Here is a 24884-nt window from a genome sequence, read left to right as displayed (position 1 = left end):
AGGCCACTTACCACCTCAATCAGAACTTTTTATTATTTTTATTTACTTTAAATTTTTTTGGCTCCTGGTCCGGATGGTAAGACTCCAGCAGAAAGACATTGACAAGTGTTAGAGGAAAAGAGGAAAGTTTATCTGAAAGTGTTATGGAAATCCCTGGAAGAAGGACAATGGAAAAGTCCGGTGGATTTACTGACATGGGGAAGAGAGCATGCTTGTGTTTCTACAGGAGATGGGCACACCGTTTGGGTGCCCTCAAGGTGTGTGCGACCATGAACGGGAGACGGGAGGAACCCAGGGTGGCCAACCATGGGCCCGGTCCCTCCAGTACGAGCCATGAGCCAGCTGAGCCTGGGTGCAAAGAGAGAGAGAAGGCCTAACAGAGTCACAACACAGTTCTAATGCTATGTTTTCTGTAAAATCAGATGGACCGCCAATCGGACAATGAGAGCTGCTCAGCCTGGCCTTACATTCTTTCAATTAATACATAAACAAAAAGGGGGATATGCAGGGAGCCGAAGGCCCGTGGGACGTGACCAACTCAGCATTCCGCAGGAGTCTATATGGGATCAAACAGCAAACTGTTTATCATGAATGCAGGATGTGGGCAAACTCACTGCCCTGCCACCAAAAGGTTTGCTGAGGGACATCACTCCCTGGCACTGGGCTCCTTGAAGTTATCTACTGAGAAAATTAGTGCCTATTGTCCAAAGGATGCAGTCTCACAAGCCTGGTGTGAACCAAATGGCCAACTGACAATTACCCAACAATCACCCCCCGCTTTTCTCGCTCTTTTGTCTAATAAATACAGAGGGCTGTGTAAAGCTCGGGGCCCTTGTCCACTAGAGGCAAGGTGCCCCCCAACCCCTTCTTCCAAATATACTCTTTTGTCTCTTGTCTTTTATTCCTGTGTTTGCTCCCGTTTGTTCAGTCCAATAGGTCCAAGGCGGGTCAGGCTGGTCTCGGACTCCTGACCTCAGGTGATCTGCCCACCTCAGCCTCCCAAAGTGCTGGGATTAGAGGCGTGAGCCACTGCGCCCAGCCGGCATTGCTTTTCTAATCAGATGAAGAACAGTGTATGCTGTCAACAGAGCATCAGGACTCAAACAGAAAGCCACATCACTGCCTTCCAAAAGTGGTGGCCCTCTGGTTTATGAACACTCTTTGGGCCTGTGCTACAATGTCCTCTCTGGGGTGTTTGTGAAGCATCAAGATACTCCCACAGTCAAGGCCAATAATCAGGCTCAGCTGTGTCCTGTTCATCTCCCTCACCCTGTGCTTCCAGTGTCCCCTACCTTCACTGGTCATCCCCACACAGCACCTGCATCCCAACACAGCACCTGCATCCCGGGCAAAATCACATTTGGAGTCGTGTTGATGGTGGGGTTTCTACTCTGTGGCCCACACTATCACTGTGGGTGTTGCCTTCAAGGGAGAAGGACTCAGTGGTTGGATTCAGTAGCACCTAACTCTGTATTGCCCTCTCTAATCCAAATGACTGTAGAATCTGACAGGCAATGACTCCACCCTTCACTCATGTGAATACATTATCTGGGGCTGAATATGTCATCTCCACATACAGTCATGGTTTGGTTGCTGATTGCTACTCTATCCTGTGATACCTGGGCTTTTGACACTGAGAAGTTTCAACAGGGATTTTCTCAACAAGAGCTTGCTGGACACCTTCAACGAAGTGATTGGATTGTTCCGTGGAAGTGTACAGACAAAAAGCTGACTTTTGCATGTTGCTTTTTACTCTGTAGTGCTGGCATAAGAGGCCTATTGATAAATTAGAAGCAAAAGCATATATGCCAGGAACAGTGGTTCATACCTGTAATCCATTCCAGCACTTTAGGAGGCCGATGCGGCCAGATCACCTGAAGTCAGGAGTTTGAGATCAGCCTGGCCAACATGGTGAAACCCTGTCTGTACTAAAAATACGAAACAAAAATTAGCCGGGTGTGATGGTGGGCACCTGTAATCCCAACTACTCAGGAGGCTGAGGCAGGACAATCACTTGAACCGGGAAGCAGAGGTTGCAGTGAGTTGAGATTGCACCACTGCACTCCAGCCTGGGTGATAAGAGTGAAACTCTTGTCTAAAAAAACAAAAACACAAAAACAAAAACAAAAGCATATTATTGGAGCAAGAAAGGCTTGGTTGGAATATTGATGCTGACTTTGTTCCCTTCCTAGGCTTGCATTCAGAAAATGTGCATAAATATATTAGTCTCATTAGACTCGTAAAGGAGCTTTTTAAAAGTATTATACAGCTTGCTAAGAAGTAAATTTACATATTTTAACTGAGGTACATAATGGAAAACAGTGTCCAGTACATCACAGGAAATACTTCAGTGTTCAGAGAATAAGTAAGGCAAAAACAGGTCCACAAGTCCAGGAGCCAGCCTCCGCTCACTGCAAGGCCAAGTCTTACGCTGTTGGAGAGAAACATGTCAGACACCAGCAATGTGAGACCATGCTCCTAGGTGGCTATGATGAATCAAGACAAAAAAAGGGCATTCTGTAACCATGTCTTTAAAACTGGTGAAAGACAGCATGTTCCAAATCATAAACATGACCCAAATTCCCCTCTTCTCACTAATATGACTGAGTGGTATTTCTCATGAATTACGTTTACCTCCACTCCATTCCTTTTCCCTTCTGGATAAGAACAGTTATGATTACCAAGTTTAGAATTAAGTTTACCTCATCACTGCATCAAATACAGAGAATCATCTTGCTTCCCTGAACATAAATCAATCAACCTGGCCAGGTGCGGTGGCTCATGCCTGTAATCCCAGCACTTTGGGAGGCCGAGGCAGGTGGATCACGAGGTCAGGAGTTTGAGACCAGCCCGACCAACATGGTGAAACCCCGTTCACTACTAAAAGTACAAAAATTAGCCGAGTGTGGTGGTGTGCACCTGAAATCCCAGCTACTCTGGAGGCTGAGGCAGGAGAATTGCTTGAACCTGGGAGGTGGAGGTTGCAGTGAGTTGAGATCGCACCACTGCACTCCAGCCTGGGCAACAGAGCAACACTCTATATCAAAAAAAAAAAAAAAATAGAAATCAACCAACCTATAACAAGCACAAAACCTGTAAGAAATTCTTCTGAGCACCCTCTTACTGATACATCACACAGTCCTTTATGGTTTGTGGTCATGATTATTATTACAGTTTATTACACCCTCTTTGACAACAGGTATGGTCTCTGCGGTCTTTAGCAAGAGAGCACACAAAACAGCATGACTTAACTTTTGGTATTATGAGTAGATGAGAAATTACTATGAAGATAAAAGTTGAAACTATATAAGCATGAAAAGTAAAATTTACATGAGGAGGAAAAAATTCCTTAAGTTGTATGCACATGGTTAACGCTGACTTCACAGTGTCTTAACAATTTGCCAAAATTATAAACTTGATGTAATCCAAGACTGAAGACAGTTAATAAACTGTTTTGAAGAAACATGTACAGAAGTCTTGTTTGAATAAAAAATACATATTAGTCACATATAATCAAACAACTGAAAATGAACTGAGGCATTACATTGAGCTACGAATAACAGGAAACACTTGAAATTTCCTGATAGAGGAAAGTGCTCATTCTCACATCAAAGTCCTGGGTGAGGCCAGTCACTGCACACTACAGCAGAAGAACAAGCTCCCCTCTGGTTGGTTTTGACAGCAGCATGGTAGCTATCAGGCTGAATCAAGAATACAGTCACTACTAGTATGAACAAAGGTGCTTACTACACAAATTAGACCGTATGCCAATTCCGTCTACAGACTAGGGGAGTCAGAGCATCACAGAATATTCCCAACCAGGACAGTCTGAATTAGTTGCCTAGTACAGACATAATAATGTCTGAAGGAAAACCAAAGTGTGGATGGATATTCAATGCAGGGCTTCTGGAGACCTGTGTGGAAGCCTATCACCTCCGAGAAAATTAAAGTCAAGTCGTTTTGAGGATACTCTTGATTGGCAACCCAAAGAAGCAGGAAAATGGGATGGAAGCAAGTGTCCATACAGCCTGTATTCACACAGCTGTCTCCCTGTATGGTGCTTCCAAACCATGACTAATGCCTTCTTAACTTACTTCCGAATCTCATGTAAGATAGGTTACTGGTGAATTGTATCATGGAATCACAAATGGAATGGATTCTGGGAAATCTAGTTCCTAACCTACCAACACTGACATAACACAATCCAGAGATCCAACTCCAACTCTAGGTTTTACTGTCCTATCACAAGTCTCTCGTAATTTAAAGCCAATTATCTTACAGGGTCTTTCTCCACTGTGAATCCTTTCACGTAGTTGAAAGAAACAGAAAGGACTGAAGGCTTTCCCAAATTTCTTACTTTCATGGGGTTTCTCTATGTGACTCCTTTCATGCTCATGAAAGAACTGGGACAACTGAAGCGTTAGGGTTAGGGTTCTCATAGGGTTTCTCTCCAGTATGAATTTTTTCATGTACTCGAAAGTAAGTGGATCGACTGAAGGCTTTCCCACATTGCTTACATTCATAGGGTTTCTCTCCAGTGTGAGTTCTTTCATGGATTCGGAAGTAACTGGAACGACTGAAGGCTTTCCCACATTTTGTACATTTATAGGGTTTCTCTCCAGTGTGAATTCTTTCATGTTTTCGAAACGAACTGGAACAACTGAAGGCTTTCCCACATTGCTTACAATCATAGGGTTTCTCTCCAGTGTGGGTCCTTTCATGGATTCGAAATGAACTGGGGAAATCAAAGGCTTTCCCACACACCTTACATTTATAAGGTCCATTGCCAGTGTGCTTTATCATGTGTCTTCTAACACTTGCAAGACAAGTCAAAGCCTTCCCGCATTCCTTACATTCAAAAAGTTTCTCTCCGGTGTGAGTCCTCTCGTGACTTCGAACAGAACTGGCGCACCTAAAGGCTTTACCGCACTGTTTACATTCGTAGGGTTTCTCTCCTGTGTGAGTTCGTTCATGGATTCGAATGTACTTGGAACAACTGAAAGCTTTCCCACACTGCTTGCATTCATAGGGTTTATCTCCAGTGTGAGTCCTTTCATGTATTCTAATGTAACTGGAACAACTGAAGGCTTTCCCACATTGCTTGCATTCATAAGGTTTCTCTCCAGTGTGACTTCTTTCATGTATACGAAATAAACTGGGATAATCAAAGGCTTTCCCACACACCTTACATTTGTAAGGTACACCTCCCCTATGCGTTAACATGTGTCTTCGAATGCTTACAAGAGAAATAAAGGTTTCTCCACATTCCTTACAATCATAGGGCTTTCCTCCAGGATGAGTCCTTTCACGTACTGGAAAAGAGCGATGATAACTCAAGGCTCGTCCACACTGGTTACGTGTATATGACTTCTTTCCATATTCCTGATATTCATTTGGTTCACGTCCAGTGTGATCTCTGATGTGCCTATTAAGTGATGAAGGACCCATGCCAACTTCTCCACACACACTGCTTTCACACGGTTTTACTCCAGGAGTTTTCTTGTTCAGAATACCATCTGGAATCTGGCTGAAGGTTTCTTCACCTTGACCACCTTCTTTACTTTCACAGAGTCTCTCTGGAATATGACTTGTCAGAAAAATGAGAAGTACATTATTAATGTTTTGTTTATAAATGATTTTATATTTATTAATAGGTATTAGACTTACATATACTTGTTTTTAAATACAGAGACAGAATCTTACTATGTTGCCCAGGCGTGAACCCTGAACTCCAAGGCTCAAGGGATCCTCTCACCTCTGCCTCCCAAAGTGCTGGGATTACAGGCGTGAGCCACCATGCCTGGCCTTGGATTCACATGTTTAACATTACCAGGGAAAGTGTACGTTTTATGCCTGTCTCAACTGTTTGAACATGAGTGGACTAAATGGTCTGCAATAGGTCACAACCATACCTATTATCAAAAAATGATATTCATGGCCAGACGCAGTAGCTTATGCCTGTAATCCCGGCACTTTGGAAGGCCAAGACAGGAGGATCACCTGAGGTCAGGAGTTTAAGACCAGCTTGACCAACGTGGAGAAACCCTGTCTCTACTAAAAATAAAAAATAAAAAAAATTAGCCAGGCGCAGTGGAGCACGCGTGTAATCCCAGCTACTCGGGAGGCTGAGGCAGGAGAATTGCTTGAACCCAGGAGGCAGAGGTGCAGTGAGCCAAGATCATGCCATTGCACTTCAGCCTGGGCAACAAGAGCGAAACTCTGTCTCAAAAAAAAAAAAAAGAAAGAAAGAAAATGATATTCATGGCCAGGTGTGGTGGCTCACATCTGTAATCCCAGCACTTTCGGAGGCTGAGGCAGGTGGATCACCTGAGGTCAGGAGTTCAAGACCAGCCTGGCCAACATGGTGAAACCCTGTCTCTACTAAAAATACAAAAAATTAGCCAGGTGTGGTGGCAGGCGCCTGTAATCCCAGCTACTCGGGAGGCTCAGGCAGGAGAATCGCTTGAATCCAGGAGGCGGAGGTTGCAGTGAGCCAAGATGGCACCCTTGCACTCCAGCCTGGGCAACGAGTTGTGAAATTCCCTCTCAAAAAAAAAAAAAAAAAGATATTCGTATGAAGTTTCTTAATACTATCTATAATTGAACTATTTTGCAAACACTGAACATCTATGTTACACTTAACTATGTTTTTGGAGAAGATTTTCTTTTTTTCTTTTTTGAGACAGAGTCTCACTCTGTCACCCAGGCTGGAGTGCAGTGGTGCCATCTTGGCTCAAAGCAAGCTCTGCCTCCCAATTCACGCCGTTCTCCTGTCTCAGCCTCCCGAGTAGCTGGGATTACAGGCACCCACCACCACACCCAGCTAACTTTTTTTTTGTATTTTTAGTAGAGACGGAGTTTCACCGTGTTAGCCAGGATGGTCTCGATCTCCTGACCTCGTGATCTGCCCACCTCAGCCTCCCAAAGTGCTGGGATTACAGGCGTGAGTCACCATGCCTGGCTTGGAGAAGATTTTCTAAAAACAAAACAGTTTGAAGCTGGGCTTATATGTTGTTTGCTTGCTTTTAAAAATTCCTGCTGGGCATGGTGGCTCAGGCCTGTAATCCCAGCACTTTGGGAGGCTGAGGCAGGCAGATCACGAGGTCAAGAGAACAAGACCATCCTGGCCAACATGGTGAAACCCCGTCTCTACTAAAAATACAAAAAATTAGCTCGGCGTGGTGGCACGTGCCTGTAGTCCTAGCTACTCAGGAGGCTGAGGCAGGAGAATCACTTGAACCTGGGAGGCGGAGGTTGCAGTGAGCCAAGATTGTGCCACTGCACTCCAGCCTGGCGACAGAGCGAGACTTCATCTAAAAAAAAAAAAAAAAAAAATTCCTAACAATACGAAATGCTCTCAAGGAACAGAACTTTCTTTTGTGAGTGCAAATTACCTTATATTTCTCCTGGGAATTTTGAATGGGTCTTCAATGTTCTGGTCTTCCCATTGTTTTCCTAAAATTTAGACCCAGAAAAGTCATTATGAATTAGTATAAAATTATGAAAAAAGTATTAGATTCTATATTCATAATTCCCTGTACCCATGCCTGGTTTATTCCCCAAAGTGTTAAGGAGCTAGAAACACTTGTTCTCTAATTCACTGAGGAAAGGAATATTGTCACCCTTACCTACAGAAGCCAGGTTCCTGAAGGTTTCCCGCATCACATCCCTGTAGAGATTCTTCTGGGAAGGATCCAGCAAAGCCCACTCCTCCAGGGTGAAGTTCACAGCCACATCCTCAAAGGCCACTGAATCCTGAAACATCCCCCATGTGTGGAGGAGGAAGGTTGAGACAGACAGCACTGGGGGCCTAGACTTTATTCCCAAGAAGTTCTCAGGATGCTATGCTTTCCAAACATTTATTTCAAGATTCCACAGTCATCAAACTTACCCTCTGTCTAGACTCACTTCCTTCCACAAAGCAATTCTGCTGCTAGAACTGAACTAGCAACAGCAGAATAGGAGCATGCCTCTCTGGTGGGAGAAGTATGTACTGCCTGGGCCACCCCTAATGTCTCTCTGTAAGGTAGGCCTGTAGCACCTGTTGTAACAAACATGTAGTGGCTGGGCGCGGTGGCTCACGCCTGTAATCCCAACACTTTGGGAGGCCGAGGCGGGTGGATCACGAGGTCAAGAGATCGAGACCATCCTGGCTAACAAGGTGAAACCCCATCTCTACTAAAAATACAAAAATTAGCCAGGCACGGTGGTGGGTGCCCATAGTCCCAGCTACTCAGGAGGCTGAGGTAGAAGAATGGCGTGAACCCAGAAGGCGAAGCTTGCAGTGAGCTGAGATTGCACCACTGCACTCCAGACCGGGTGACAGGGCAAGACTCCGTCTCAAAAAAAAAAAAAAAAAAAAAAATCTAGTAACTAGAGTGCAGAAAAAAGAGTTAACATTAGCCACCCTGAGACTGTGTATCTTTAGAAATGCTTGTTCACAAAGTTTGAGCTTTGACAGTATCTGGGTACTGGATTTTAGACAGGATCCCACCAACCTAACTGATAAAAGAGTCATAACTTACTAGAACAGACTCCCATAGCAAAATCTCTGTGGGAAGCAGTACAGGGGTAGGAAAACCTAAATTGCAACTAATGAATTACTAAAGGCTAAGTGTAAAAATCTGGCTGGGCACGGTGGCTCACGCCTGTAATCCCAACACTTTGGGAGATGGAGGCAGGAGGATCACTTGAGCTCAGGAGTTCAAGACTGACCTGGAAAACATAGCGAGACCTCTTGTCTACTAAATATTTTTTTTAATTAGCTGTTTTTTAAAAAAAAAGAGGTAAAAATCCAGGGGATCCAGTCATAGGGGGCCCCCAGAAATGTGTGAGCTCTACCTCCAGAAACTTCATCAGTTCTCACAGTGAAGATCATAGAAAAATTGCTTCCTGCTTATGGCAGGAAGAGGGTAAGAGTAGTCATCTTGAAATATGCTCAGGGAATTGCTCTTAACAGATACCACCTTCAGGCCAGGGATGGTAGCTCATGCCTGTAATCCCAGCACTTTGGGAGGCCAAAGACCAGAGGATGGCTTGAGGTCAAGAGGTCAAGACCATGCTGGGAAACCAAGTGAGACCCTATGTCAGGAAAGGAAAAAGGAAAGGAAAGGAGAGGGGAGGGGGGGAAGGGAGGGGAGGGGGGAAGGAGGGGAGGGGAGGGGGGAAGGGAGGGAGGGGAGGGGAGGGGAGGGGGGAAGGGAGGGAGGGGAGGGGAGGTACACATTCATAAATGGTAAAATGACTTTTGGCGAGTGTGCCCAGATTCATTATTGGAAAAAAATACTTTTCAAAAAATGGTGATGACATGAGTACAAAGATGAGAACAACAGACACCGCGGCCTACTTGAAGTGGGAGGGTTGGAAGAGGGTGAGGGTGGAAAAGAAACCTATCAGATACTATGCTCACTACCTGCGTGATGAAATACACCAACCCCCAGTAACACGCAATTTACCCATGTAACAAACTTGCACAGGTACTCCCTCAACCAAAAATAAAAGTTGAAAAAAAAAAATGGTTCTGGGAAAACTGGATACCTACATGTGAAAAAATGCAGTTGAGGCCCGGCAAGGTGGTTCATGCCTGTAATCTCAGCACTTTGAGAGGCCGAGGTAGACAGATCACCTGAGGTCAGGAGTTCCAGACCAGCCTGGTCAACATGGTGAAACCCCATCTCTACTAAAAATACAAAAAAATTAGCCGGGCGTGGTGGGCTGGTGTAGTCCCAGAAACTTGGGAGGCTGAGGCAGAAGAATCGCTTGAACCCAGCACGCAGAGGTTGCAGTAAGCTGAGATTGCCCCACTGCACTCCAGCCTAGATGACAGTGAGACTCTGTCTCAAAAAAAAAAAAAAAAAAAGCAGGCCGGGCACGGTGGCTCATGCCTGTAATCCCAGCACTTTGGGAGGCCGAGGCAGGCGGATCACGAGGTCAGGAGATCGAGACCATCCTGGCTAACACAGTGAAACCCCATCTCTACGAAAAATACAAAAAATTAGCCGGGCGTGGTGGCGGACGCCTGTAGTCCCAGCTACTCGGGAGGCTGAGGCAAGAGAATGGCGTGAACCCGGGAGGTGGAGCTTGCAGTGAGCTGAGATCGCACCACTGCACTCCAGCCTGGGCGACAGAGCGAGACTCCATCTCAAAAAAAAAAAAAAAAAAAAGCAGTTGGACCCTTAACTTACATACAAAAATGAAATCAAAATGGATCAAAGACCTAAAGGTAACAGCTAAAACTAAACAACTCTTAGAAGAAAATAGTAAAAATTATGCAGGCCATTTTTTTGGACTAAAATCCTATACTAGTCCCCAACAAATGAGACCAAACCAAAATGGAGTCACTCATGCTAAGTGCCACATAATCAAACTAAAATTTTTAAAGAAGCAGGTAGATCCTCAAACATACCCAGTTTTTCCCCAAAACAGGAGACTCACAGCAACCAATAGGAAAGGGCCCAGTCAATCTCAGCTGGCATAATAAGGACGTCCCCTCTGCTTTACCCTTTCAATAAAAGTAACCTGATGTTAACCAGTCTGCTTTGTTGTTGTTCTGTTTCTCTTGTTCCTTACAAAACCCACCCTTCTGTCACGCCCAGCGGGAGCTCTTATTCTATTTTATAGAATGGGATGGTACCCCAATTCATGAATTGCAAATAAAAGCCAACTGGATCTTTTAACTCTGTTCTAATTTTCCTTTTTAAACAAAAACACACAGCAAAAGTTTCTATTGGGTCTGGCATTGATTTCTTGGATAAAACACCAGAACATGGTTCACAAAAGAAAAAAAAGACAAATTTTATTTCATCAAAATTAAAAACTTGTGTAGGCCAGGCAGCTGGGGGAAGAGGATTCCTTGAGCCCAGGAGGTTGAGACTGGGGTGAGCTCGGATCACATCATCACTGCACTCCAGCCTAGGCAACAGAGCAAGACCTTGTCTCTAAATAAATAATTCTGTGTCAGAAGACACTATCAACACTGGGAAAAGGCAACCAGGGAATTGTAAAAAGTATCAGCAAATCATATATCTGGCAAGGTGTTAGTATCAAGAACATATAAAAAACTCCTATGACTCACAATAAAAATCAACCACTCCAAAGAACAAGTGTTGGCAAGAAGGTCAAGAATTTGGGGTCGGGCACAGTAGCTCACACCTGTAATCCCAGCACTTTGGGAGGCCATGGCGGACAGATCACTTGAGGTCAGGAGTTGAAGACCAGCCTGGCCAACATGGTAAAACCCCGTCTCTACTAAAAATACAAAAATTAGTCAGGTGTGGTGGCACATGCTTGAAGTCCCAGCTACTCCAGAGGCTGAGGCAGGAGAATCGCTTGAACCCAGGAGGTGGAGGTTGCAGTGAGCTGAAATCACGCCACTGCACTCCAGCCTGGCCAACAGAGCAAGACTCAGTCTCAAAAAAGAAAGAAAATATTTCAACAAAGAGTTCAGTGATCTAATTGGCTATTATTAGCGAGTCACGAATCAAGAAGCATCCCATCTATGAAACAGAAAGGCGCTCCATAAGTTTGTTGATCTAAAAGGAAGAAACTTAGGCAAAATCAATACAAATGGACAGTCTATTGGGGCCAGAGCTGAGGACTGCAAACCAGGAGTACAGATTCAAGTTGCCCTGAATATATACTCTAATTAGCAGCAGTTACACAAGGTTTTGTTGTTGTTTTTAGACAGGGTCTTACTCGGTCACCCAGGCTGGAGTGCAGTGGCGTAATCACGACTTATTGCAACCTCGACCTCCCTAGGCTCAGATGATCCTCCCACCTCAGCCTCCATAGTAACTGGGACTGCAGGTGCACACTACCACATCTGACTGTTTTATTTTTATTTTTTGAGGAAAAAAAAGGGCAGCAACTGCTTGAAATGTCATAAAGTAAACAAAAACCCTGAAGCTACCTGAGCCAACAGATTATGGCTGAGACATATGATAGACCATCTAAAGCCTGGGAAGAAAAGCTGAGGAGAAAAATTTCTTTCAGAAATTAGGATACTCAGAAAAACCCAGGTATGCTGGGGAATTGAGAATGCCCCCTTCATGTCCAGGAAAGAACGCATTTCCAGAAAAGACCTTTTCTGGGCTCAGAAGAATTCAAAAGACTTGAATTCAAAAGAATTGCTTGAACCCGGGAGGCGGAGGTTGCAGTGAGCTGAGATTGTGCCACTGCACTCCAGCCTGGGCAACAAAGCAAGACTCCGTCTCAAAAAAAAAAAAAAAAAAAAAATTCAAATCCCACTTTTCAACAAAAACAAAATCATAAAGAAGACAGAAAAATATGGCTCATCAATGGGAAAAAATTGAGATAAACCATCTTTGAGAATCTCCAGTTATTGCGCTCACTGGACGAAGACTTTAAGCAACCGCCTTAACTATGCTCAAAGTAGTAAAGACAACCATGGAGAAAGAAATAAAGAAAACTAAGAAAAGGATGCATGCAATAATATCAACAAAAAATTACAGGCGCGGTGGCTCACGCCTGCAGTCTCAGCACTTTGGGAGGCCAAGGTGGGCGGATCACAAGGTCAGGAGTTAGAGGCCAGCCTGGTCAACATGGTGAAACCCCGTCTCTACTAAAAATACACAAACATTAGCCGGGCATGGTGGCAGGCGCCTGTAATCCCAGCTACCTGGGAGGCTGAGGCAGGAGAATTGCTTGAAATCAGGAGGCGGAGGTTGCAGTGAGCTGAGATCATGCCATTGCACTCCAGCTCTGGGCGACAGGGCAAGACTCAGTCTCGGGGGGGAAAAAATACATATATATATATATATATATATATATATATATATATATATATATATAAAATTTTTTAAAAGACTACCCAGGAAGTACGGATCTGGAAGATGCAAAGCACAACTAAAATGAAAATTTCTCTATAGGTGTTCAATGGCAAATTCAAGCAAGCAAAATAAGAATCAGCTAACTTGAAGATAAAATTAACCACCTTGAAGAAAGAAAAAATAAATTTGAGAGAATGGGAACAATTGCTGGAGTTTGGTTGCACAACAAGGTGAGTATAGTTAACACTACTAAACTGTACACAAAAATGCTTAAGATGGTAGATTTTTAATTGTTTTTATAGCCACAATTAATAATAATAAATTGTTGGACATGGTGGCTCACGCCTATAATCCCAGCATTTTGGGAGGCTGAGGTGGGCACACAGCTTGAGCTCAAGAGTTCAAGATCAGCCTGGACAACATGGCAAAACCCTGTCTCTACAAAAAATACAAATATTAGCTGAGCATGGTGGCATGCCCTCTAGTCTCAGCTACACAGGAGGCTGAGGCAGGAGGATGGCTTGAACTCAGAAGGCGGAGATTGCAGTGAGCCGAGATGGCACCACTGCACTCCAGCCTGGGTAATGCAGCAAGACCCTGTCTCAAAAAATAATAATAATAATAAGTTATTGTAATAAACCAGCAAAAAACACATTGATTAGAAAATGGGCAAAATTGGCTGGGCATGCTGGAACACACCTGTAATCCCAGCTTCAGGAACCTAAGGCAGAAGGATCTTGAGCCCAGGCGTTCAAATCCAGCCTGGGCATCATAGCTCTTTCCAAAAAAAAGTGAAAATAAAAATAAATAAATAATAAATGGGCAAAGAACTTGAATGGACATTTCTCCAGGATATATACAAATGGCCAATAAGCACATACAAATATGCTCAACACCACGAATCATTAGGGACACAGATTTTACACAATGTAATTTCAAATGGCTACTCACCACTTGAATAGCTTTTGTCTCATGTAAAATATACACTGACAAAAAGATAAATCTTTAAAATTGTTATTTATTATTCTATGGAAAATTATAAATAACTAAAATATTACAGCTGCTTCAAACCTAGCATGGGGGAGACATAATTGAAGATAATGTCAACTGGAGAGGGGAAGTTGACATCTGGGATTGTGGCAAGGGAAACCAGAAACTTAGGAACTTATTTTGACCCTGATACGGTTTGGCTGTGCCCCCACCCAAATCTCATCTTAAATTGTAGTTCCCATAATCCCCACATGTTGTGGGAGGGACCCGGTGAGAGGTAATTTAATCATGGGGGCATTTCCCTCCATGCTGTTCTCATGATAGTGAGTTCTCACGAGATCTGATGGTTTCATAAGTGGCTTTTGCCACTCTTCGCTCTGCACTTCTCCTTGCTGCCACCATGTGAAGGACATGTTTGCTTTTTCCTTCCGTCATGATTAAGTTTCCTGAGGCCTTCCCAGCCATGCTAAACTGTATGTCAATTAAACCTCTTTCCTTTATAAATTATCCAGTCTCAGGTATGTATTTATTCACAGCGCAAGAATGGACTAATATAGTAAATTGGTACTGGGTAGCGGGGTGCTCTGCCGTAAAGATACCTGAAAATGTGGAAGCAACTTTGGAACTGGGGAACAGGCAAGGGTTGGAACAGTTTGGAGGACTCGGAAGAAGACAGGAGAATGTGGGAAAGTTTGGAACGTCCTAGAGACTTGGAGGGCTCAAAAGACAGGAAGATGTGGGAAAGTCTGGAACTTCCTAGAGACTCCTTGGATAGCTCTGACCAAAATGCTGGTAGTGATATGGACAATAAAGTCCAGGCTGAGGTGGTCTCAGATGGAGACGAGAAACTTGTTGGTAACTTGAAGCAAAGGTGACTCTTGTTATGTTTTAGCAAAGAGACTGGCGGCATTTTGCCCCTGCCCTAGAGATCTGTGGAACTTTGAACTTGTGAGAGATGACTTACGGTATCTGGTGGAAGAAACTGCTAAGCGGCAAAGCATTCAAGAGGTGACAGAACATTAAAGTTTGGAAAAATTGCAGCCTGACAATGGAACAGAAAAAAAAACCCAGCCAGGCGTGGTGGCTCATGCCTGTAATCCAGCACCTTGGGAGGCTGAGGCAGGCGGATAACCTGAGGTCAGGAGTTTGAGAGCAGCCTGAGCAACATAGAGAAACCCCTTCTCTACTAAATATATAGAATTAGCTGGCCGTGGTGGCACATGCCTGTAATCCCAGCTACTCGGGAGGCTGAGGCAGGAGAATCGCTTGATCCTGGGAGGTGGAGGTTGTAGTGAGCCAAGATTGCGCCATTGCACTCCAGCCTGGGCAACAAGAGTGAAACTCTGTCTCAAAAAAAAAGAAAAGAAAAGAAAAACCCATTTTCTGGGGAGAAATTCAAACCAGCTACAGAAATTTGTGAGTAACGAGAAGCCAAATGTTAATCACCAAGACAATGGAGAAAATGTCTCCAGGACACATCACAGACCTTCATGGCAGCCCCTCCCATCACAGGCCTAGAATCCTAAAAGGAAAAAATGGTTGGTTTCCTGGGCCTGGTCCAGGGCCCCTTGCTGTATGCACCCTAGGGACTTGGTTCCCTGTGCCCAGCCACTCCAGCCATTGCTAAAAGGAGGCAAGGTACAATTCGGGTCATGGCTTCGGAGGGTGCAAGCCCCAAGCCACAGCAGCTGCCATGTGGTGTTGGTCCTGTGGGTGCACAGAAGACAAGAATTGAGGTTTGGGAACCTCTGCCGAGATTTCAGAAGATGTACAAAAACGCCTGGGTGTCCAGGCAGAGGTGTGCTACAGGGGCGGAGCCCTCATGGAGAACCTCTGCTAGGGCAGCGCAGAAGAGAAATGTGGGAACTGGAGCCCCCACAGAGAGTCCCCACTGTGGCACTGCCTAGTAGAGCTGTGAGGAGAGGGCCACCATCCGTCCTCAAGAACCCCAGAATGGTCAATCCACTGACAGTTTGCACCACGCACCTGGAAAAGCCACAGACACTCAGTGCCAGCTGTGAAAGCAGCCAGGAGTGGGGGCTGTACCTTGCAAAGCCACAGGGGCAGAGGTGCCCAAGGTTGAGGGAGCCCACCTCTTGCATCAGCATGACCTGGATGTGAGACGTGGAGTCAAAGGAGATTCTTTTTTTCTTTCTTTTTTTTTTTTGAGACAGAGTCTGGCTCTATCACCCAGACTGGAGTGCAGTGGCATGATCTCGGCTCACTGGAACCTCCGCCTTCTGGGATCAAGCAATTCTCCTGCCTCAGCCTCCCGAGTAGCTGGGATTACAGGCGCGTGCCACCATGCCTAATTTTTTGTATTTTTAATACAGACAGGGTTTCACCATGTTAGCCAGGATGGTCTTGATCTCCTGACCTCATGATCCGCTTGCCTCGGCCTCCCAAAGTGCTGGGATTACAGGTGTGAGCCACCGCGCCTGGCCAAGGAGATTATGTCAAAGCTTTAAGATTTAATTACTGCCCTACTGGATTTGGGACTTGCATAGGGCCTCTAGCCCCTTTGTTTTGGCCAATTTCTCCCATTTGGAATGGGTATATTTACCCAATGACTGTATCTAGGAAGTAGCTAACTTGTTTTTGATTTTACAGGCTCATAGGCAGAAGGGACTTGCCTTGTCTCAGATGAGTTTGGACTTGTACTTTTGAGTTAATGCTGGAATGATTTAAGACTTTGGGGGACTGTTGGGAGGGCATGATTGTTTTAAAATGTGAGGATATGAGATTTGGGAGGGGCTGGGGGTGGAATGATATGGTTTGGCTGTGTCCCCACCCAAATCTCCTCTTGTAGTTCCCATAATCCCTGAATGTCATGGGAGAGAGCAAGTGGGAGATAATTTAATCATTGGGGTGGTTACCTCCATGTTGTTCTCATAATAGTGAGTTCTCATGAGATCTGGTTTTATAATGGGCTTCCCCCACCTTTCCCCCACCTTTAGTCTGCACTTCTCCTTGCTGCTGCCATGTGAAGAAGGACATGTTTGCTTCCCTTCCACCATACTTGTAAGTTTCCTGAGGCCTCCCCAGCCATACTGACCTGTCAATGAAATCTCTTTCCTTTATAAATTACCCAGTCTTGGGTATGTCTTTATTAGCAGCATGAAAACAGACTAATACAGAGCCCTGGGAAAAACTAGGCTGAAGAGGCTGGGCACGGTGGCTCATGAGGTCAGGAGTTCAAGACCACCCTGGCCAAGATGGTGAAACCTTGTCTCTACTAAAAATACAAAAAAAAATTAGTCAGGCCTGGTGGTGGGCACCTGTAACCCCAGCTACTTGGGAGGCTGAGGCAGAGAATTGCTTGAACCTGGGAGGCAGAGGTTGCAGTGAGCCATGATCGCACCACTGCACTCCAGCCTGGGTGACAGAGCAAGACTCCATCTCAAAAAAAAAAAAAAAAAAAAAGAAAGAAAGAAAAACTAGGCTGAAGAGGTCTCAAGTACTCCTTCCTTCACCAAACTTGAGTCAAGCTCCTCAGAGCCCTCTTTTTGACTAGGGCTTGGCACTGGCCTGCAGAAGTCAGTTTCAGCAAGAATCCATCTAAGGTAGTTTATAGAGACTCCTCCTACCTTAATATCCAATCAAGTTCTTTTTCTCCCACCTATGAGACCCAACCAAGTTCCATTCTCTCCCTCACCTTGTACATTGGCTATAAATCCAATAATATTCCTGCTGCATTCAAGGCTGAATTCAATCTCCCTCCCCTATTACAGCTGTCATGACTCACTGCAATTGTGCTTAATAAACTTTTCCTTGACATTCTTAACAAGTTTCCAGTGCAATCTCTCTTTAACAGGGAACAAGGCTGTAAACTTGAGACCCTGGTTCATTTATCTGAAATGCATAGGGGATGACAGGCTCCCTCCCACTGGGGATGAAGGAGCTGGGAACCACACATGCCATTCTGCTGGGCCCACCCAAGTCTGAATCCATGGAGGGGGAGGGTGTCCTGAGAGTACCTCCCACCCACAAACCCAAAACACCAGGCTCAGATTTCTCTCTGGATGGCCACTCCCTGTTGTCACCCCATGATCTGGGTGAGATCCAGGATTGCAGGTGCACAACTGCCCAGAGAGAGGTCCAGGAGGTAGACTGCCTCCTACAGTGATGGGACAGGATACCTGGGAGTCCTGGCTGCCAATTCAGCCCCCACCCTGATGGAGTGTGATGGAGGGGACTGAGACTCAGGCTGCTTCTGGATAAGATGCCCCACCAGACACAGGATTTGCAAGTCGTTCTTCCACTTGGTGAATTATCTTTTCAAGTTCTTGGTGTCCTTTGAAGAACAAAAATTACCAATTTTGATGAAGTGTAAACTTTAGTTAGTAACATATTGGCTCACCAATTCTGATCATCATCATATATGATATATTGGTTCATCAATTATATGATATATATGATATCATATTTACGTACTTTGGGAGGCCAGGATGGGAGAATCACTTGAGCCAGGAGTTAGAGATCAGCCTGGACAACATAGTGAGACCCCCATCTACCAAAAAAAAAAAAAATTAGCCAGATGTGGTGGTGCACACCTGTGGTCCCAGCTACTTGGGAGGCTGAGGCGGCAGGATCACTTGAGCCCTGGAGGTCTAGCCTGCAGTGAGCAGTGATCGCACCACTGCACTCAAGCCTGGGTGACAGAGCAAGACTTCGTCTCTTAAAAAAAAAGAAAAGTAGGGGAAAACAATCACCTGTGGAGGAGAATAAGGAAACTCTAAGTATTATCTGTTCAATTTTTCTGTCAAACTACAACCGGTCTAAAAAATAAAGTTTATTAAGTAAAATAGTGAATAAAATACCATTTCATGGAAGATTCACAGCTATGTGAAATAGACAGATGGCATACAATATAACATATAGGATGATATCACTTCCACAAAAAACAGACAAAAATAAGGCCGGGCGTAGTGGCTCACACCTATAATCCCAACACTTTGGGAGGCATAGCTGGGTGGACTGCTTGAGCCCAGGAGTTCAAGACCAGCTTAGACAGCATGGCAAAACCCCGCCTCCACAAAAAAAAAAAATACAAAAATTAGCTGGTGTGGTACTGTGCACCTGTAGTCCTAGCTTGTTGGGAGACTGAGGTGGGAGAATCACTTGAGCCCGGAGGCAGAGGTTGCGGTGAGCCAAGAGCGCCACTGCACTCCAGCCTGGGCTACACAGTGAGACTCCATCTCAAAAAAAAAAAAAAAAAAGGCTAAGAATAGCCAAGATGTCGTACAAAATACAGTTAGGATTGTTAACAGACTGAATGTTTGTATTCCACCACCATCCCCTGCCCAAACTTTCATTTGCTGAAATCCTAACCCCCAAACTAAATGCAGAAACCAGCATGCGTGAAACAAACAGGCAAAGAAACCAAAAAAAAACTCTTTTTGGCATAATATTAATGGTAATAACTTACTAAAAATTCAAAAGAGGAAGAGCCAAGCAAAATTCAGCCTAATGATAAATAGATGGTAAAACTATGAAGAACCACCTTTTAAAAATGAGGACCTGGTCACCTGTGGGTACAGACGGGAGACAAGATCAGGACATACCAGAAATGCCCAATGCCCATTTATGAACCTGGGTAGTGAGTCCACAGGTGTTTCACACAACCCACTCTCCTCTCCTCACAGTGTGGAAATGCTCCCTCCTCCAGGGTCTCAATTCTCACCAGCGAACACTTACCCAGAGCCAGGTGAAGGTTCTGATCTCTAGTGTCTTTTTTCATATACCATTTCTGACACCAAATGTGTGGTGTTTGCTGAACACAACCAAATCTCCAATTCTCCAACACCAATTAAGCATTCAAATCAATTCTGACACTACCCAGAGTTAACGGGGACCCCACAAGTTCAGGGCTCATTACCATAACAGTGCCCCACTGCAGATGCCAGTCACAAGCCCCAGGGATCACCCATACTTCTCAGCAACTGCATATAAATCAGAAATGGCGAAATGGAAGGGATGGATGTAAGGGAAAATGGCGGCAGAAGATTGGGCAGGTATGTAATCCTGGAAATAGCTATGGTTAAAGAAACTCCCCCGTCTTTTGTATTCTGCAGGAGCAGGTTACGCAAAGAAACACTCTTCTCATTATGACTTAGATGACACTGCTTTTTTACCTATGACAAAGCCATACACAGACTAGAAATTCCCTTTATTTTCCTCACAATTGATTAGCTGAACAGCTCTGTCTTCAGTGATCAGTCAGAACAAAGTACCTGTTAACAAAACTTTGGTTAAGTTTCTCTTCTTCCTCCAGCCCCTGAACTTTGACCCACCCCCAGCCTGAGCCTATATACAACCCCTCTGATGACCCTCCTAAGAAGAGACTGCCTTCAGGATCTAGGTGGGATTTTGCACCCTGCATCCTGCCTTCCACCTCCCACCTTCTTTCTCATCATTTGCTCCTCCCTACAAAAGAAAATCCTTTTCTGCATAAACTCTGAGATGCTTGCAGATTTTTTTTTTTTTTTTTTTTTTTTTGAGACAGAGTCTCACTCTGTCGCCCAGGCTGGAGTGCAGTGGCGCGATCTCGGCTCACTGCAACCTCTGCCTCCTGAGTTCAAGCGATTCTCCTGCCTCAGCCTCCCGAGTAGTTGGGATTACAGGCACGCACCACCATGCCCGGCTAATTTTTGTATTTTTAGTAGAGATGGGGTTTCACTATGTTGGTCAGGCTGGTCTCAAACTCCTAACATTGTGATCCACCCACCTCGGCCTCCCAAAGTGCATGGATTACAGACGTGAGCCACCACGCCCAGCCTGAGATGCTTGAAGATTTTATACTTGGTGCCTTCTCCCCTTTCGATTATCCTTTAGAATAGTCATTCCTGTCTGGTGTGGTGGTGCTCCCCGCCCCACCCCCATAATCCTGGAATTTGGGGAGGCTACGGTGGGAGGATTGCTCGAGGCCAGGAGTTAGAGACCAGTCTGGGCAACATAACAACGTCCTGTCTCTCTTAAAAAAACTTTTTTAAAAATATAAGCCAGGCATCATGGCACATGCCTTTAGTCCTAGGTACTTGGGAGGCTGATGTGAGAGAATTCCTTGAGCCCAGGAGATCAAGGCTACAGTGAGCTATGATCGCACCACTGCACTCCAGCCTAGGAGACAGAGTGAGACCCTGTCACACACAAAAAAAATAAATAAATAAAAATAAAATAAATCACTCCTTACCTAAATCCAGATTTGTTTCATTAGAAACGTCTACAAACAGACCCAAGATAATAGCAAGTACATTCTCAGAAAGGCATCACCTCAACCACCTCTGCCTATGAATCCCCAGCTTTCCAGGGCTCTGAGCTTCTCTCACTATAAAGGGCTCCACCCAAAGTCAGTTGTGAGCAGCTGGGACACTGCAGGGGAGGCTCCTCAGCAAGAACCACTGGGCCTGTAATGTCCTCTCTTTGAAGGCTCAAGATTGGTCTTAGTTTCAAGTCACTAGTCTGCTGTCTCTGTTTCCCAGTCAAGGTTATGCATTTAATTTTCAATGAGAAAATACCCAGGGTTTGAAGATTCCAGTAAAATCACTCAAATTCACTGTTTATAGCAAGGAAGGAAATTGTAAGGCACTTATATTTCATACCTTAACAGGAAAAGTAAAAGTATCCATCCTCTTCAGACAATAAACATGTTATTTATTCTTTCTATGGTAACAAATCATGTACTAAATCATATTGGAACACTTCTAGGAGTTACCAAGTCCTGTCCTACTAGGACTTCGCATTAAACTCTGATGTCTAGATAACAGGAAGAGAACAGTTATCCACTGTCACAAGTTTGCCACCCTGCAAAGCAGAGGAATTGATGTTTTGGTGAATCTCTGTAATTCACCAATTTATTTGCTACACTTACTTGTGGAAATGTATTCATTTTCTGCAGTCATGATAGAAGAGAGTTTTCTCTCTCTCTTTTCCTTAGTATTCCCAACACTAAGCCCTGGAATTCCATTTTAAATCACCACACCCCACCCCCACAAAAAAAAACAACATACTTGAGAAACTTACTACACTTGCTTTGGGAAAGAAAAAAATAATAATTTTTTTTTTGAGATGGAGTCTTGCTCTGTTGCCCAGGCTGCAGTGCAGTGGCGCAATCATGGATCACTGCAAGCTCCGCCTCCCAGGTTCATGCCATTCTCCTGCCTCAGCCTCCCAAGTAGCTGGCACTACAGGCACCCGCCACCATGCCCAGCTAATTTTTTGTGTTTTTAGTAGAGACAGGGTTTCACTGTGTTAGCCAGGATGGTCTCGATCTCCTGACCTCGTGATCTGCCTGCCTCAGCCTCCCAAAGTGCTGGGATTACATGCGTGAGCCATCGCGCCCAGCCATAAGTAATAATTTTTAACAAACATAAGACTAGATATTTAATGTTTTCTGAAATCCACTTCCTTCTTGCCTCTTTGCAAAACTGTCTTATATTTCAAGGTCTACTGATGAAATACATTTATAGTTACTTAAAAAAGAAAAAAACTGAAACTGCAATAAGTGAACAAATCTTTTGCAGGGGACAAACCCAGGAAGGGGCTGCGCTAACCTGGAACAGAGGTACGTCTGACTCAAGTTTCACATCTTTTTTTTTGAGACAGAGTCTCGCTCTGTCACCCAGGCTGGGGTGCAGTGGTGTGATCTCGGTTCACTGCAACCTTTGCCTCCCACGTTAAAGCGATTCTCATGCCTCAGCCTCCCCAGTAGCTGAGATTAGAGGCACCTGCCACCACACCCAGCTAATTTTTGTATTTTTTAGTAGAGACAGGGTTTCGCCATGTTGGCCGGGCTGGTCTCGAACTCATGGCCTCAAGTGATCCGCCCACCTCAGCTTCCCAAAGTGCTGGGATTACAGGTGTGAGCCACCGCGCCCGGCCTAAGTCAGGTCATTCTATCACCTGGGATATCGTCCACCCCCTAACCTGCTCACTGAAGGGCTCAGTGACCACCCTTCCAAGAGACACTGCATTTTGCCTCCATCTGCCTGAAGTACATTTTGCTTTTCAAGTTCTTGCATCACCTCAGTGGGATGGGTTTTCCTGTCCTTGGGATAAGTTTTCTCACTTCACCAGTCTAAAAGAATCCAGAGGGCAAGAATCATATCTGTTTTTCCCCTCAATACCATCATCCATTTGGCTGGACACCAATGTGTCCCCCAAGGAATGGGATCTGGAATTAGGGGAAGAAAAGCTGAGTGTCCCAGGGGTGAGCTTTGAGAGGGAGGGGATATCAAGAGATTCCTCCGACCCCAGGACACCCAGCTCCTCCACTAAGAGGCCCCACCCCGTACTTCAGGCTGTCCAGTGGGAGCAGGCTGATACCAGACCCTTCAACAGATCTGGCTGCTGTGGGCATCCTGTGTCAGCCCAAACAGCCCTGAAGCCCAGGACCAGGAAAGGAGGATGCTCTGAAGACATATCACAGTTTAAAGTTTCCAAAGGGGAACCCCAACCCAAAGACACTGTTTTTTGTTTTTTTTATTTTAGGGTCCGGGTCTCACTATGTTGCTCAGGCTGGTCTCAAACTCCTGGCCTCAGGTGATCCTCCCGCCTTGGCCTCCCAAAGTGTTGGGATTACAGACATGAGCCATGGCACCAGGCCAACCAAAAGACATTCTGAGAACATCCCTGTGCCTAGGAGAGAGAAAAGGAGAAGAGGCACAAAGGTTTTTTCACAGCAGGGTCTCATACATGTATTCTCTGCTTTCCTCTCCTGTGAAATGTTCAGAAACAGAAAGCAAATATTTTTAAAAGACCAATCGATTGCTCCTTGAAAAAATAATACAAATTAATTAGTTTGAAATGTGCAATAAAGGACAAAGAGTTGATAATGTCGTGACTGGAGTTACCTTTTGGGAATATGGTGAAAGAAGTGGTATCAAGAATTATTTGCAAGCGCCAGAGGAGTCAGGCTAGGGGAACAAGGTCAAGGATTTGGGACCCTGTCCCCCTGGGGAGTGTTAAAATAATTAATTTGGAGACAATTAGAGGGCTGTGGCTATGGTGTCCTGGTTTCCTACCCAAGGAAACAGAAATCTAAGTCGAATGAAATTCTTTTATTTGATTTTATATTTTAAAAATTTGTAGTAGTTTTTTGGTCTCAGTCTGAATATGTTCATTTAAAAAAAATTAACAGAGATGGGGTCTCGCTATATTGCGAGGCTGATCTTCAACTCCTGGGCCCAAGCGATCCTCCTGTCTTGGCCTCCAAAAGCGCTGCGATTACAGGCGTGAGCCACCGCGCTCCAGCCTCAAATGAAATTCTTATAAATTACCAGTTTATAAGGAAATAAAATTTAGGGTTAATAAACCACAACCACCAATCCACCTCTGACTACATAAGCAGAAAATGTCCACCTAGATAGAGCAAATAAGGCGACTGCATAACTGTCACCAACCAAGTACTGAATTTGGTTCGCTTCCTCCTGCACCTTACAGCCTTTCCTTCCATTCCCTCCAACGGATCCCCAAGCCACAAACCACGACCGGGAGCTTCTCCATCGATGAGCCGCTGTTTGCTCAAATAAACTCTAAATTTTTAACGGGAGAAAGGCGGGACTGTGGGGGGCGGCCACAGACCGCAGCTCCTGCAACACGAACCACATCCGAGGAGGGATACCCCCATGACCCTCCCGCGGCCCCCGCACCATGTGGGGAGACGCGGGGCTGCGGGGCCGCAGGCGTCGCGCAGGGACGGGACAGGACGACCGGGGTCCCAGCTCCTGGCCCAGCCCCACCTTGCGGCCGAGGGAACTCGGGTCCCAGACCCCGGAGTCGCCGCAGGGAGGCCTAGGTCCCTCCACAGCCGGTTCCGGCCGGTTCCAACCAGCCCCTCCCCCAGGTCTGGGGACGCCTGACCCCTCACACGCACCATTTCTCGGCTTCCAGGTGTCCCGGCGTCCTCCCTACGACTCCCGCGACCTGTACAGGTCACGGCGCGACAGAGGCTGCGGCGGAGACACCTTGGGCCTCTCGGAGAAACGGAGACGCGAGCCCGGGTGGGGACGGTCGCCAGAAACAAAGGCTCCGTAGGGAGGCGCAGGCCCTGCCCTCCTCTCCCGGGCCCATCTGAATGGACAGTTGGCAGGGCCCCGCCCCAGCGCC

The 24884-nt window shown here is 45.4% G+C and overlaps 1 protein-coding gene and 1 pseudogene across 5 annotated transcripts, besides 5 other annotated features; one reads left to right on the top strand and one right to left on the bottom strand.

Moving 5' to 3' along the window:
• Positions 1058 to 1380, top strand: VN2R12P (vomeronasal 2 receptor 12 pseudogene; annotated as a pseudogene).
• On the bottom strand, positions 3121 to 24799 carry ZNF627 (zinc finger protein 627). Of its 5 annotated transcripts, NM_001290083.2 has the most exons (5): positions 24652 to 24799; positions 17918 to 18072; positions 7629 to 7755; positions 7395 to 7455; positions 3121 to 5587 (listed from the first exon to the last, which is right to left on the bottom strand). In NM_001290083.2, exons 3-5 carry the CDS (start codon positions 7660 to 7662, stop codon positions 4393 to 4395), a joined length of 1290 nt encoding a protein of 429 aa, NP_001277012.1. In that variant the 5' UTR covers positions 7663 to 7755; positions 17918 to 18072; positions 24652 to 24799; the 3' UTR covers positions 3121 to 4392. The 5 variants fall into 5 exon arrangements, with proteins under 5 accessions (NP_001277012.1, NP_660338.1, NP_001277014.1 ...); NM_145295.4 differs by lacking the exon at positions 17918 to 18072; NM_001290085.2 differs by lacking the exon at positions 17918 to 18072 and having other exon boundaries at positions 7633 to 7755.
• Positions 15502 to 15702: a silencer, noted in NCBI's record as "peak3358 fragment used in MPRA reporter construct". NCBI's record gives its function as "represses an SCP1 promoter by STARR-seq MPRAs in K562 erythroleukemia cells {active_cell/tissue: K562}" and the evidence as "EXISTENCE:reporter gene assay evidence [ECO:0000049][PMID:32103011]".
• Positions 22359 to 22438: a silencer, noted in NCBI's record as "silent region_10124". NCBI's record gives its function as "represses an Ori minimal core promoter by ATAC-STARR-seq in GM12878 lymphoblastoid cells {active_cell/tissue: GM12878}" and the evidence as "EXISTENCE:reporter gene assay evidence [ECO:0000049][PMID:35858748]".
• Positions 23862 to 24860: an enhancer, noted in NCBI's record as "NANOG-H3K27ac-H3K4me1 hESC enhancer chr19:11708237-11709235 (GRCh37/hg19 assembly coordinates)". NCBI's record gives its function as "activates a minimal SCP1, AML or CMV promoter by ChIP-STARR-seq in naive and primed H9 embryonic stem cells {active_cell/tissue: H9 hESC(naive and primed)}" and the evidence as "EXISTENCE:reporter gene assay evidence [ECO:0000049][PMID:30033119]".
• Positions 24405 to 24544: a silencer, noted in NCBI's record as "silent region_10123". NCBI's record gives its function as "represses an Ori minimal core promoter by ATAC-STARR-seq in GM12878 lymphoblastoid cells {active_cell/tissue: GM12878}" and the evidence as "EXISTENCE:reporter gene assay evidence [ECO:0000049][PMID:35858748]".
• Positions 24695 to 24774: an enhancer, noted in NCBI's record as "active region_14030". NCBI's record gives its function as "activates an Ori minimal core promoter by ATAC-STARR-seq in GM12878 lymphoblastoid cells {active_cell/tissue: GM12878}" and the evidence as "EXISTENCE:reporter gene assay evidence [ECO:0000049][PMID:35858748]".

Source organism: Homo sapiens, chromosome 19 (genome assembly GCF_000001405.40).
Source record: "Homo sapiens chromosome 19, GRCh38.p14 Primary Assembly".
In the NCBI taxonomy this organism is placed as follows: domain Eukaryota; kingdom Metazoa; phylum Chordata; class Mammalia; order Primates; family Hominidae; genus Homo; species Homo sapiens.
Note: the sequence above shows the minus strand (reverse complement) of the source record. Positions and strands in the feature narration are given on the sequence as shown.